The sequence below is a fragment of the Homo sapiens genome, chromosome 5 (genome assembly GCF_000001405.40).
Source record: "Homo sapiens chromosome 5, GRCh38.p14 Primary Assembly".
NCBI classification, from domain to species: Eukaryota; Metazoa; Chordata; class Mammalia; order Primates; family Hominidae; genus Homo; species Homo sapiens.
In genome coordinates this window covers 67,116,524-67,132,159 of record NC_000005.10, presented here as the reverse complement: position 1 = coordinate 67,132,159, position 15,636 = coordinate 67,116,524, and the positions used below count along the sequence as shown (strand labels likewise).

Sequence of the window (15,636 nt, the reverse complement as noted above, 5' to 3'; positions counted from 1 at the left end):
TCCTTTTTTCCATGAGTTTCCTGAACTTCCAATAAGCATATCTTTTAAAGTTTTACATACAAATTACCATATATACTGTTAAAACAACTCATTTTGGACATTATGGAATAATTTAAAAATGTACATTGACTAAAAGAAAACATCTTTATAAACATACGAGAACTTTGTATTGGGCAAAAGAAGACATATATTTCATTTGTGTACATACTTGTCTGGTTTCAAATCCCTGTGTACAATTCCATAATTATGTAAATATTCCAAGGCCAAGACCGTCTCAGCAAAGTACATTCTGGCCATATCAACAGGGAGAGGACCCATGTTTTTCATTAAAGTAGCACAGTCTCCCCCTGTAACACAGGAAAAAGAGTTAGTAGCTATAGGATGAAGGCTTAATGTAGAAAATCAGTTTAGACTGCAGAATTTCAAGGTGAAATCATCTCTACCCATAGACACAGCATATCATAGTCACAACTGGAGTCTATGTGTTAACCTATCATGTTTCTAACTAAGAAACAGTATGGAGAAAATACAGATTTTTATTTAAGAAGTAGTATTCATAAGAGAGGAGGTTTGGCTCTGAAGTGAAACTGTACTTTAAAGAACGGCTAGCATAATTTTAGGATCATGGTAACAATTTAAAATACACCAGCATAAAACATGGATTCTAGAATCAGGCTACCTGAGTCCAAATCCTAGCTCTGCCTCTTACCAGCTGAGACATCCTAGGCAAACGACTCTTGGTTCCTTCACCTGTAATACGAGGATGGTAATAATACCATCTTTGTTAGAATTCTTACGAGAATTAAATGAGATAATCTATATAAAGAACTTAGGATACTGCCCAACACATATCACATATTAAATGTGTGATAAATGTTAGTAATTGTTTTTGTTAAGATAACCACAACAAAGGTTAAAAAAGCAAAATATTGGTGTGGTAGAAAGGACACTGGGTGAAAATAAGGCAAGCTACGTTTTTGTCTTTTATCTACCACTCTATCTAGTAAGTCTTCCTTTCTTGGACTTTATTTCGCTCATCTATGAAATGCAAAGGTTAAACTAAAAGGATATCTAATGTTTCTTTGAGTTTTATAGTTTTGGGATTCTGTTCAATGACAACAGCTTAAATTAGATGCTTTGAAATTGTTACTGATCTATTCATCTTATTAACTTTATGTCAACAAGTCATGGTCACTCGAACTCAGAAACTTAATATAAAATTGATGGAAATAAGATTACTTGGAGCATTGAAAAGGTAGTCCATAAACCTCTTAAAGAAAGAAAAAAAAGCTAAAAATCGGGAAGACTGGCTGCATTTTCTTGAATGTATCTCCTTTTCCATTTTATTTCATACTATAGACTGAAAAGAATATATATTTCTTTCTGTAAGAAGACTAATTGTGATGAGTACTTTTATGATATGTAATAAAAATAAGCAGAAAAAAATCCCATCACCTATATTCCAACTTTAATGACCAATTGAGAGGAGGTAGTTAGGATTAAAAACTATTAAAAAAGATAACCTTTTTCCAGATAGCGCTAATTTTCTCTTTGTTATAGTAGAGCAGGCACTTTACAAGCAATTATCAGAAGATAATGACTGGGAATACAGCCATTTCATTGCCTGGCTTCAGTTCCTAGGTGGATACAGCCATTATGTGGCACAAATACAGACAGCTTCAACAACACAAATGAGCAAGGGATTCCTGGGTACAGGTGTCATGTTTTCCGTGTCAGATACCTTCCACATATTCCATGACCATGCACAAGTGGCGCCTTGTTTCAAAGGAGCAATACATGCTGACAACAAAGGGGTTTTCTGCAAAAGTCAGGATATCCCGCTCCACAAAGGCCTGCTGGATCTGGTTTCGAAGGATGAGGTTCTGTTTATTAATCTTCTTCATGGCAAACCTCTGCCGGGATTCTTTATGCCGAACAAAGTAGACTGCCCTGAAAAGGAGCAGAAGTATTGGGGTTGACAGGAGGAGAGAAAGTAAGGATGTTTTGGGGATACAGTAAACCATATAAATCATCAACTTTTTAAAAGTTCTCACAGCAGGTGGAATGTAGCTCACACAAGCTGGCAGCTACAAACATCCCATCCCAGGCTAAACTCCTTTGGCTAGATTGATTTTTTTTCAAATTATTTCAGTTAAAGGTCAAGGGTCATATCCAGGCATCAGATTCATCTTCACTGCTGAAGGAAGGAAATGAGCAGTCCCCAAAGTGACCTATTTCCTAATAGCTAGCTGACATTTTCAGTTTTTCCACAAACACATCAAAATTCGATATATGTCAGAACAGGAAAGAATTAACAAAGTTACACACATATAACAAGCTAGATCCTTTCTAGCGTTAGATAGTAGATATTAGACACTTTTTCTCAACCAACTAAAGCAATAATTTTCTTTTTTTTCCTTTTTCTTTTTTTTTTTTGAGATGGAGTCTTGCTCTGTCGCCCAGGCTAGAGTGCAGTGGCATGATCTCAGCTCACTGCAACCTCTGACTCCTGGTTTCATATGATTCTTGTGCCTCAGCCTCCTGGGTAGATGGGATTACAGGTGCACGCCACCATGCCCAGCTAATTTTTTGCTTGTTTTTTGGTAGAGACAGAGTTTCACCATGTTGGCCAGGCTGGTCTCGAACTCCTGACCTCAAGTGATCTGCCCTCCTTGGCCTCCCAAAGTGCTAGGATTACAGGCGTGAGCCACCATGCCTGGACCCTAAAGCAATAATTTTCTAAATGATACCATTGGGATCCACAAAAAACCCCATAGCTTCTTAGAGTATCTGGCTTCCAATTCAGAGACATTTACTTCCAAAGAAATTTCCAGATAAATGAGAAGTATGTGTTTAACACATTATACGGGGCTGTCCTGCAACAAAGGGTAGCATATTTCCTCACTGCAGTCCTCAGCATGTGCTACCCCATGGCCGTTTCAACAGGAAATGCATGTCCCAGCATAAGAGCGGGCCAACGATGGAGCTGTATTTCTGTTCTCTCAGACCCACGGTCAAGGTGTCAGGGAACTTTACAACCAGACCAGGCTACACTCAATCTCTGCCTAAAGCCTCACCCAAATACTTTATAGAGCCAATTATGTCTAGGTAAAGACAAGGGACCCAATGAGGCTTGGGATAAAGTAAAGAAGAGAATCAGAAGGAGTCTTAACAGCTCATCTGGAAATGATGAGCAACAAGGAACATGTCTTGGATGGGCTCCTTTCTCACAAGTCTTCCTCACCTGTCAATATCATGGGGGAACAGGTTTGAAATCTCCAATGATCAAACAAGAAATCATTTACCTGAACAGCCATCAATCACAGTAAAGTATGTCCAGTGCCCACCTTATAAAACAGGGGGTATGTGATCTGAAATGGATTTTCCACTAGTTACTTAGCCATCCCTGAACAATGACTGCAAGGGGGCCCAGAACACCCTATGCTCCTGCTCAATCAACATATCAGGGTGATTCACTGAAATAAATTTCAACTATATTCAATCCCAGTTTAATCAATGTTAACATTTTTACCTTAAGTGTTCAGCTTGGAATCACTTTTTCTTTCATGAATGTGTGTTTTTATCTCTGTCTTTTCATCATGCCCATCTTTTTCCTTTATTCGGCAAATCACACATCTATATTTTTGTCTCGGTCTAAACATTATTATTATTTTTGCTTTGCTCATATTTTTCTTCTCATTTCTTTGGTTTTCTAGTTCTTCCTTCACTGTACAGTAAAAAACTCTCTTAACCATACCTCCTATAATCAATGCACCGAATGATCTAGTGCTGTTATTCCCACTGTAAGCCAGCCAGCTGGGTGCCCAGCACTTTCCACGCCGACTGGTGGTACTCTTCAGGATGACCAAAGCCTTGGGCTCCCACCATTTTGAGTGATTCCCACACCTGTTTTGCTGGCCAGATTTGATATTAAGATTAACTAATTTAAACAAATATTTAAACAGGAACATGAGTATAAAAAGGGAAAGCATTATTGCTTATCAGAAAACTAAACGAATGTTTTAGAAAGTCTTAATAAATGTCAGTTACTAAATTAAATTCCTGTTGATTTAATGTGGGTGACAAGATTTGCAAAAGTTGAAAAAAATAACAAAAATCTAGATTCCTACATTCATATTGCTTCAAGTTCTTGTTTCACCATTAAAGACGCTAAAATTGGAAAACAGAAACAATATATTGTAAGTCTGGTTTACACTGGCTTTCTTGAAAAGGACTTCCAACAAAAGACTAGGAAATTTATGTATATTTAGGTTAAATTGAAATGTTTAAAATACATATCTTTTTAAATTATTTCCTACTTTGACCAACTTTTAAATTAAACAACCAACTACTAGTTCTTTTTGTATCAGATTAAAGGCTTTTAGTATGTTTTTCTTTTTTTCAGCTACTGATGAGATACTATCAAGAATCCACAGACAACTTGAGTTGCTCCTAATCAGATGATGGTAGCAGGACAGATATATAAAGGAGCACAGAAAATAACTTGGCCATCCCTCAAATAGAAGATAAGCACTGATATACAAATGTTGTCATTTTATCCACCGCGATCAAGTCAGCTTCATCCCCGGGATGCAAGGCTAGTTCAACATATGCAAATCAATAAACGTAATCCATCACCAAAACAGAACCAACCACAAAAACCACATGATTATCTCAATAGATGCAGAAAAGGCCTTCAACAAAATTCAGCAGCCCTTCATGCTAAAAACTCTCAATAAACTAGGTATTGATGGACCGTATCTCAAAATAATAAGAGCTATTTATGACAAACCCACAGCCAATAACATACTGAATGGGCAAAAACTGGCAGCACTCCCTTCGAAAACCAGCACCACACAAGGATGTCCACTCTCACCACTCCTATTCAGCATAGCATTGGAAGTTCTGGCCAGGGCAATCAGGTAAGAGAAAGAAATAAATTGTATTCAATTAGGAAAAGAGGAAGTCAAATTGCCTCTGTTTGCAGATGACATGACTGTATATTTAGAAAATCCCATCGTCTCAGCCCAAAATCTCCTTAAGCTGATAAGCAACTTCAGCAAAGTCTCAGGACATAAAACCAATGTGCAAAAATCCTATACACCAGTAATAGACAAACAGAGAGCCAAATCATGAGTGAACTCCCATTCACAACTGCTACAAAGAGAATAAAATACCTAGGAATACAACTTACAAGGGATGTAAAGGAACTCTTCAAGGAGAACTACAAACCACTGCTCAAGGAAGTAAGAGAGGACACAAACAAATGGAAAAACATTCCATGCTCATGGATAGAAAAATCAATATCGTGAAAATGGCCATACTGCCCAAAGCAATTTATAGATTCAATGTTATCCCCATCAAGCTGCCACTGACTTTTTTCATAGAATTGGAAAAAGCTTCTTTAAATTTCATAGGGAACCAAAAAAGAGCCTGCATAGCCAAGACAATCCTAAGCCAAAAGAACAAAGCTGGAGGCATCACGCTACCTGACTTCAAACTATACTACAAGGCTACCATAAGAAAAACAGCATGGTACTGGTACCAAAACAGATATACAGACCAATAGAACAGAACGGAGGGCTCAGAAATAATGCCATATATCTACAACCATCTGATCTTTGACAAACTTGACAAAAACAAGCAATGGGGGAAAGGATTCCCTATTTAAAATGGTATTGGGAAAACTGGCTAGCCATATGCAGAAAGTTGAAACTGGATCCCTTTCTTAAACCTTATACAAAAATTAACTCAAGATGGATTAAAGACTTAAATGTAAGACCTAAAACCATAAAAACCCTAGAGGAAAACCTAGGTAATACCATTCAGGACATAGGCATGGGCAAAGACTTCATGACTAAAACACCAAAAGCAATGGCAACAAAAGCCAAAATAGACAAATGGGATCTAATTAAACTAAAGAGCTTCTGCACAGCAAAAGAAACTATCATGAGAGTGAACACGCAACCTACAGAATGGGAGAAAATTTTTGCAACCTATCCATCTGATAAAGGGCTAATATCCAGACTCTACAGAGAACTTAAACAAATTTACAAGAAAAAAACAAACAACTCCGTCAAAAAGTGGGAGAAGGATATGAACAGACACTTCTCAAAAGAAGACATTTATGCAGCCAACAAACATATGAAAAAAAGCTCATCATCACTGGACATGCAAATCAAAAGCACAATGAGATACCATCTCTCGCCAGTTAGAATGGTGATCCTTAAAAAGTCAGGAAACAACAGATGCTGGAGAGGATGTGGAAAAACAGGAATGTTTTTACACTGTTGGTGGGAGTGTAAATTAGTTCAACCATTGTGAAAGACAGTGTGGCGATTCCTCAAGGATCTAGAACTAGAAACACCATTTGACCCAGCAATCCCCTTACTGGGTATATACTCAAAGGAATATAAATCATTCTACTATTAAGACACATGCACACGTATATTTATTGTGGCACTGTTCACAATAGCAAAGACTTGGAACCAACCCAAATGCCCATCAATGATAGACTGGATAAGGAAAATGTGGCATGTATACACCATGGAATACTATGTAGCCATATAAAGGAATGAGTTCACGTCCTTTACAGGGACATGGATGAAGCTGGAAACCATCATTCTCAGCAAACTAACACAGGAACAGAAAACCAAATACCACATGTTCTCACTCGTAAGTAGAAGTTGAACAATGAGAACACATGGACACAGGGAGGGGAACATCACACACTGGGGCCTGTCGGGGAGTTGGGGGCTAGGGGAGGGATAGCATTAGGAGAAATACCTAATGTAGATGACAGGTTGATGGGTGCAGCAAACCACCGTGGCATGTGTATACCTATGTAACAAACCTGCATGTTCTGCACATGTACCCCAGAACTTAAAAGTATAATAACAAAAAAAAAAAAGAACCAAAAAAGGGTGTTTTCAAACAGGAAATATATATTTTAAAATGAAAGTTAGAATTTAAAATACTGACAGGGAGAAACCAGTATCTTTCTTTTATAGCTTGCCTATTATAGAGAGTAAATTGGCATACTGCTTACCATCTCTTCCTTCAATAGTTGTTTTTTAGTAAGTTTAGTGCTGAGGAGCCTTGGACGTATATTATGAATTTCACAGATGATCACAAGGTGGCCATTCTGATTTTCAATCAAGAATCACCATTTCTTACATAAATAACTGCTCTGCAATATGTTTGAGAATAGGAAGTGAAGGAAGAAGAATGGACTTACCCATGATTTTATGAAAGAATAAAAGACAAAGATGCCTCCGGCCCAATATGACCAGCATCCTCACTGGGTCTCTCTGTGGCACTATATAAAAAACGGCTTTAGTCTTTATTCTCAGATTTTCAGTTCATAAAACTTTGTTTGACTTTCTGCTTTCCCTTGCTATGATGTACTTACAATAATCAGTTAATCCTTGGGAAAACCGACCTAAACCAATTTAAAAGAATCCTATAAGTAGCTTGAGATATCGCTGCCTCAGGACATGCATATCTTGATCAAGTCACAAAGGTCAAACAGGCTTCCTAATTAGAAGTAGTTGTGGGTGGATTTTTTTTGTTGTTGTTTTCTGTTCTTGGGTTTTTACATTTCTGTATTGCTTTGGGCATATTACTCGTCATGTTGAAATTTGTTTATTTAGTAATAATTGTTGTCTCTCACATACACCTTTTCTCTTTTAAGTTGATGTTCCAAATGTGCTTAAAGTTAGCACAGAGAGAGAGAGAGACAGAGAGAAACAAGAAGAGCTCTGACAGCCACCGACAGCCAGACATGTAACACTGTTAAGTGGACTGTAAACCTCCCAGTGTTAGAAGTTGTACTGAACTGATATGGCTCCACATTTCTTCTCTGCTTTTTGGTCCCAGAGGTTGTGCTTTCTTTGAAGAGGCTGCTTCTGCCTCTCTTCCTACACTGACCTCCCTGTGAAACAGGAAAACCCAAGGGTAGAAGGTGGAGGGGCAGGGAAGACGTAACCAAAGACCCTAATTCTCTCTGAGCCAAGCTTCTCCCCAACCATGCAGAACTGAGGTGTGGGAGGGTGGGGAGAAGTGGAACTAGAAGCTGACAGGATCTAGAGCAGAATGAATCAGCCCTATAGCGAGCATGAATGTCTAGCGTGTATAAAATTATGCAAGATTCTGAGAGCCCAATACGTGACTCCGTGCTAGCAAATCTCCATGTGGGAAGGAGGGTGTGTGTGTGCCAGAGGAAAGTTGAGAGAAAGACTACAGGGATAGCATGTGGGAGACAGGGCGTATGCCACTTGCACACATGCGCCTCTTTGGCACATGTCCTGGGCCCCTTCACAGGTAAAAGAGAATCATGTGCATCAAGATTAGAAGGAAAGGCAAAGTGGGGGAGAAATGGTGCGCCTTTCAAAATTAGTTTTTTACTTTTAAAAATTTTAAGTCAATTTTATTCTTTTACTTTGAAAACATTTGAAGTTATGACTTAAAGATCCTGGTGGAAGTGTTCACTGGAAGAGGTAGGACCTCTACAACTCCAATTAGGATGGCTAAACATTTTAACAAATGGATACCTTATAGAGAGAAGAGAGCTCCACTTAGAATCAGGGTATCCGTGACTCTGTCTCTGGGCCTCTCCTTCCCTACATGTGAGTGGAAATAATATCAACTACCATACAAGGGCTCTTGTGAGAAGAGAATATATATAAAGAAACCAGCACAGTGCCAGGCACATAGCACCAGCTTTCTATAAAGCACTAAGTTGGCAAAAAGACACGTTTAACTTCCAGTCAGGGATCAGAAGTGTGTTAAACAGAGAAGGAATCAGATGTTTACCAAATTGGCTTTATAACATGAATTTTCACCAAGTATGATGCTGAGAAAGCCATGTGTGTTTTAGCACTACAGATAGAAGCCCTTCCTAATGACAGGGTTAGTTCCCAGCTCCACCAGTTTTTGAGGAGTCATGGAATTGGTGTCTCTCTGAGCCACTGATGTGAGTGGTAGACCCTGTACATGGATACCTAAGAAAGCTTCTAGAAGGGCCAGTTCAGCCACCCGTGGCGGGATACATTTGTTCAGCCAGTTCCCATAAGCCGGCAGTCAGCCTCACTGACTGGGTGAACCAATGGGGGTGGTTCTATTCAAATTTCAAATTAAAGATTATTAAAACGTTGAGAAAATCTATCAGAAATATAATGAGAGATTAAATCTGAGAAGAGAAAAAGAAAAAAAGAGTTTTGGCTGATCAGCAGAGACTCCCACAGGCAGCTTGTGAGTCCATTAATGACTTGGCCTGCATCCTGGGTGTTTACTGATTCACAGCTTGTTTAACTTCTTGTATATTCCCAACTATTCCCCAAAGTGTGATATACCTCATCTACTATACAGTGGTTTAATTGCACTACAAATGAGTTTACTCAACCAGTTAGAACTCCAAATACTGCTAAGATATATGCCCAAATTTTTAAAAGTCGTGCTTCACAGATAATCTTATTCCAGAATTCCACTGCTAATAAAAACTAGCAGTGCTCAAACCCATACACCCATTAAATCAAAGTTTAATCTTCTCCCTAATGAAGAAAGAAATCTTCAGGTCATTTCCAAAAGTGTAAAGAACTAAAAAACAAACGATAAGCAAGTAGAAACCACAAACAATTGCATGCTAGAACCATCTTCCTAGGTAGAAAAGTTTCAATGAGGTCCTTGAAAAATAAAATATTGCAAAAATACAACATCAGAAAGCATTTATAAGCCACAATAGGAAATATGGCATTTGACATATCCTGAAAACAAATCAGTGAAGCATAGAAGGGACTCACAAATATTTAAGTTCTTAAGTTAATGGTGTGGAAAATATTCAAGGTGAAAAAATGGTAACAGAAACATCCCTTGTGGCACAACAAAAACTTCTTTTGTTTCATCTGCTCATGTGTGATAAATGGCAATAAATGTGAATGAGATTGTTTATTGCTCTTTATATACAAATAGAATTGGGATTAATATTTAATTAAACTAGAATTCTTGGGCTGTCGAAAATGGATCAGGTCATAGTTTGTGCATTAATTACCCTTCTAAACTATTAGTAACTCAGAAGAATCTTGTCACTGTTTACTGCCACAAGGAGAAAATTATGTGTCTACAAAAAGGGATCAAGGAAGGAACACCATTAATATCATTAGATTATTTAGGATACAGTTCAATTTTGAAAATCCTGGTGTAGGAGTTAAAGGCTGCAGTGAGTGAGCTATGATTGCACCACTGCACTCCAGCCTGAGGGACAGGGCAAGACCTAGTCTCAAAAAAAAAAAATTAAATTTTTAAAAAAACAAAAACAAAATCCTGGTGTAATAAAGACCAAAACACATATATTGCTCTAAATCACACTTATCCAACCCGCAGCCTGTGAGCTGCATGCAACCCAGGATGGCTTTGAATGCAGACCAACACAAATTTGTAAACTTGCTGAAAATATTATGAGTTTTTTGTGATTTTTTTTTTTTTCAGGTCATCAGCTGTTGTTCGTGTTAATGTATTTTATGTGTGGCCCGAGACAGTTCTTCTCCCAGTGTGGCCCAGGGAAGACAAACGACTGGACACTCCTGCTCTAAATCTTCAACCAGACTTATTTAAAGACATTTATCTTAAGGTTGTCTGCTGGTCACACATGAAATACAGGCTAATTTTCATGTAGTAATACTATATAGAAAATTATAAATATATGATTATATATGATAGTATTTAATATATACATATATATTTCAATCAAGAGTCAGGTATTTCTTTTAACCCAAAAGGGCAAAAATGAAGGAGGCAGAAACAAGGGTAAATAAAATTTTTCCTTGAAAATCTTTCTCTCCAACCCTCTAAAGTAACTCCTTGGTCACTTGGCATGTTTTCTGATGAGGTGTCCAGTAAGAAGTGATTTTGGCTGCACAGTACAAGCCTCAGGAAAGGAGCAGTGATCTGAAAAGTCAAGTCCCTATACAGCTTCTATTTGGCCTTAGATAAATGTTAAGAATAAATATATCACTTGAGTGTGTAGAAATACAATAGAGAGCTTTTCTTGAATTACTCACCCATAGGCTCCATTGCTAATCAATTTAATCGTTTCAAAATCACTTTCCCGAGGTTTCCTTCGAAGTTTCAGGGAGGCATTAGAGCTCTTGGAAACAAAATATGGAAGTTAAAAAGTAGTTTAGATTTAAGAAAATTATTTTATCAGCAAAATAGATAATATTTGAAGGACATGCTGTTATGTAATATGTTGAAGTACAGTATTCCAGCCACAGGAACCTGAGGGATAGCTTTACAGAGCCATCATCCACAGCAATGCTGACAAACTCCTTGTGACACTGTCACTTAAGCGAATCCACACTTCCAGGCAATCAAGGACAATTCCTGATATTAATTTCCTTTTGTAAACTACTCAGGTTGGCCTTGTCCTAGTCTTTTAACATTTTGGAATTTAACTCCAAAATGCCAAGCTTTCCTTTTGGTTTCTGTCAGCCAAAAAAGAATGGGCCGGAGTGGCTCTACATGGGGCTCTATCCCTGACAGAGCATGTCTCTTTCATTCCTGTGGCAATCTTCATTGCTCAGAAAAGCAGTAGGCAACACATGCAACACCCAAGTACAGAATGCCTGCCTTTCTTTACTTCCATGCCAGAAATCTAACATGGCTTACAAAACAAGTTTCAAAAAGACAGCTCTTTAAAAAGTTTAGCTCAAAGGATGGGAATAGAAAAAAATGCTTTAAAAAAATTCTCTCATGCCCCATTTATCTTAGCATGGAGAGGGAGTTACCAGCTCTTTGCTCCCCTCTGCAAGAGTCCAGAATTCCCTTCCTATTGTTTTGGAAGAAACCCTGTGTGGGCACCATCATCCTCAACTCAGGGCTGTCATCACTGACCCTGTCATCCCACTCATCTTTGAAAAACTTGGCTACCCACCTTCCTCTTTGCCCAAGAGCTCTCTCATCATCCAGGGTGACTTCAGTGTCTACACAGATAACCCACCCAACACTGGCCTCCAGGCTACTTGACCTCTTCAACTTGAACCATCTGTTTCCTCTGCTCCCCTTTGGCCTCTGGCCCTAAGATCTGGATCTATTTAGTCATCACCTGCCAATGCTCCATCACAGAAAACAGACTTCGAGACTGGGACCACTTACTTGTTTAGTCACTCACTATTACTCTTTTAATTATTTTATTCTTTTTTTATTTTTTGTTTTCTTATCTACTTTGCACTGCCTCAGAAGGTAATTCACTCACTATTACTGCTCTTTCATGGGTTTGGGCTGCAAGGCTCTGTCCAAGGCTCTCTAATCTCATTAACTCTTCCCTACACGAGTGATCTCATTTATGTTCATGGATGACTCCTAAGTCACTTCCACCTCCACCAGAAACTCTCCCTCTGAGTGCCAGAAGATATCAGACCTTATATACAGTTGCCAGTTTGATGGATCTTCTTTAATGTTTCAAAGGAACTTTAGTCTCAATACATTCAAAATTATGAGTCAGATAATAAAAGAAAACAGCTATCATTTATTTAGCACTTACTATGTGATACTGTCCCAACCGTTTTACATAAAAATCTCATTTAATCTTTTACAAACAGGGAAACCGAGGCACAGAGAAATTTCCCCCACCCCCCAGCTGGTAGAAAGCAGAGTGTTTTCAAATCTAGGCAACCTGACTCCAGAGCCTGGGTTCTTATCCCCCAGGCTACACAGACTGCTCCTGCTTTCCTAACCCCTACTCTGATGCATCCTGGTTCCTCTTTTGGTGTTCACAATTGAGGAGAATGGCACCAGCATCCAGGGCCTCTCACCTGTGCCACGGCAGGAGCCTCTGAACTGGCTTCCACATGGTCACCCTTCCCTCCTCCTCCCAGCCCATTGCTTTCTGCACTGCAGTCAGTGTGATTTTTTTTCAAGCCATAACTCTGACTGGGTTATCTCCCTGTCCACTCCTCCCACCCTCATATACCCATACACCTCCTCCAAAGTTCAGTCATTTCCCATTGCTCTTAAAAAACAAAAACAAAAAACCTGATAAACATGAACAACAGGGACCTAAGCATCCAGCTTTTACTCAAGTGCTCTAGTTTCTGCTGTCTCCCTTGCTTAGTCCTCTGATGTAGCCTGTGTCTGGAATGTTCCTTTTGCCCCTTCTTACCCTAGTAATCTGTTACATTTAGCTCAAGTGCCATTTCCTTGGGAAATCTTCTGGGACTGGACAGACTATGGCAAATATCTTTACGTAATGGTAGCACATGGTCTTTTTTCTTCATAGATCTTATCCATATTCTTATTCATATATTCACATAGAAGCACAATAAACATTTGTTGAACAAATAAACTAACATAGCCAAAGTCTCCAGATGCTAAACAGAAAAACCAACATCATATTTCATCAAGAAATATACTTACACTCACTGATTCATCTGTTTCTGGTGTTTCTGCTGTCCCACTATCGTAGTTTCCCAAATGAGCCATTTCTAAGTTGGAAAAAAAAAAAGTTAAGCTTAATAAAAATATTGCAATTGGATAAGAATACTAAGCTGAAACAAAAGAAAAATAGTTTCTCCCATATTAAAAAAATTGCTCTATACTCCAATGTGCCCATGGGAAAATCTTAAATCTAAAAAAAGGCAGCAATTGGTATTTTGAAATTGTTCACTACACACTCCTCCCCAGAACTCCATTTCTTGCAAACACCTAGACATAGGAACTTTAGAGGCTGGGCATAGGAACTCATTGGCTGATGCAATCACCACAGCTTGGAAAGGCTTCGGTGGGTCAACAACTCTGCTTAGAATCAGGTATCTGAGAGAGGCACATCTTTCCAGGCTCTGGCGGGCATCAAAGCAGCACCGACAACAACTAGGGAATGATTCTTAAGTTGTGGTGCATATCTCGTGTTCCATTCCTTCATATCTACTGAGAAATACCCTGCCAGAGACATTAAGAATTTGTAATTTGTCAGAGAGGAAGTAATAATGGTGGTTAAGAGGGATTTGGAGATTAAAAGACTTAGGTTACCACTACTATCTGCACTTACTGACTGACTGACCTTTTAACTTCAAGCTCTTCCCTGTAAAAGGTAAACAACCTTACTTATTTCTTAGAGTTTTTTGTACTGTATGTGATAATGCATGTAAAGCTCTTAGCATACTAACAAAAATTAAGTGCTCATTAAATGTTGATTATTTATTATTAATCATATTGTATAATCAGTCTTGGATTGGATATCACATGCTCACATGCTTGACACCAGCTTTAAGTACTACCCTGACTATTTAGTTAAAAGAGACAAAGGTGTCTAAATTGATCAATTCACATTGGAAGGCATCCTTGAATTTATAGAAGTAGATGAGACAATCAAATTCTTTTATTGTTCATTTTCTTTTTTATACTTTAAAAAAATCATGTTTTATTTAAAAAACATGAAATAATTTTCTCTAAATCTATGATAGGTCTTATCTGAGTGATAGGATCACAGATAATTAATATTTTCTTCTTTTACTTGTACTTTCCAATTTTTCAAAATTGAACATGCATAATAAAAGTCATAGTTTTTAGTTACATATTTTTGTGTGCATCTAAATATATTTAAAATTTTCAATTTTAAAAAACTTAATTTTATTTAAAATTAAATAATTAAAAAATTATTTCTTAGTTTCTTATTTTATGTATTCATGTTCTTATAAATGTGATAATCCCTTCTGGGCAGACATTATGCCTAAGAGATATGAAGCAAAACAACACTGGATTACTACCTTTAGATAAAAATGTATAAATTCTAGATTCTGGAATAACGACATTGCCAATAACTTTCTCAGTTTACCTATAGGGGAAATTCCAGAATAAAAAGGAGCTTAGCACAAACTATGTCCTTTCTTCGTCTCATTCAAATGATGTCAATATCCAATATGACTAGCATCTTAGATTTATGGACTTGGAGGTGAACTAAAATGCATCTAGTTGGAAGGGATCTCAAGGAAAGGGGCAAAAATTAGTAGTATTTAAATAAAACAGCAACAGCAGCTAACATCTGTTAAACACTATGTTAAGCAATTACAAAGATAAACATAGAATCCTCAAAACAATTCTATAAATAGATACTATTATTATCTCATTTTTATGGAAGTAACTGAGGCACAAAGAGGTGCGTCAATTTGGATGGTCAAGGTTCACACAGCATGCAGTGCTGGCTTAGGGTGACAACCTGGCAGCCCAGCTCCAGAACTCCCAATTCCTAACCTTCAAAGGACAAGTCTAAGGTATGTTAGTTTAGACGCTGACAAGAAAGGGAAACAAATGTAGAACAATCAGAGTCTGTAATCATTTATTTTTTATTTCTTGAGATGGAGTCTTGTTCTGTCGCTCAGACTGTAGTGCAATGGCGCCATCTCGGCTCACTGCAACCTCTGCCTCCTGGGTTCGAGCGATTCTCCTGCCTCAGCCTCCCAAGTAGCTGGGACTACAGGTGTGTGCCACCATGCCCAGCTAATTTTTGTATTTTTAGTAGAGATAAGGTTTCACCATGTTGGCCAGGCTGCTCTCGAACTCCTGACCTCAGGTGATCCACTCAGCGCGGTGCAATTTGTTTATTAAATTACCTGGAGAAGTCATATTTCAAATGTTAACAAATAG

At 38.1% G+C, this 15,636-nt stretch overlaps 1 protein-coding gene across 28 annotated transcripts in view; it reads right to left on the bottom strand.

Annotated features, from left to right (window-relative positions):
- Positions 1–15,636, bottom strand: part of MAST4 (microtubule associated serine/threonine kinase family member 4) — a 573,201-nt gene that overhangs the window by 37,434 nt on the left and 520,131 nt on the right. For all 28 annotated transcript variants that reach the window (XM_024446044.2, XM_047417157.1, XM_047417158.1 and 25 more), the window contains 4 exons: positions 13,411–13,478; positions 11,058–11,143; positions 1,742–1,950; positions 209–347 (listed from right to left, as the gene is read on the bottom strand). In XM_024446044.2, coding sequence (XP_024301812.1) covers positions 209–347; positions 1,742–1,950; positions 11,058–11,143; positions 13,411–13,478 — 502 coding nt within the window. The remainder of the gene's footprint in view (positions 1–208; positions 348–1,741; positions 1,951–11,057; positions 11,144–13,410; positions 13,479–15,636) is intronic.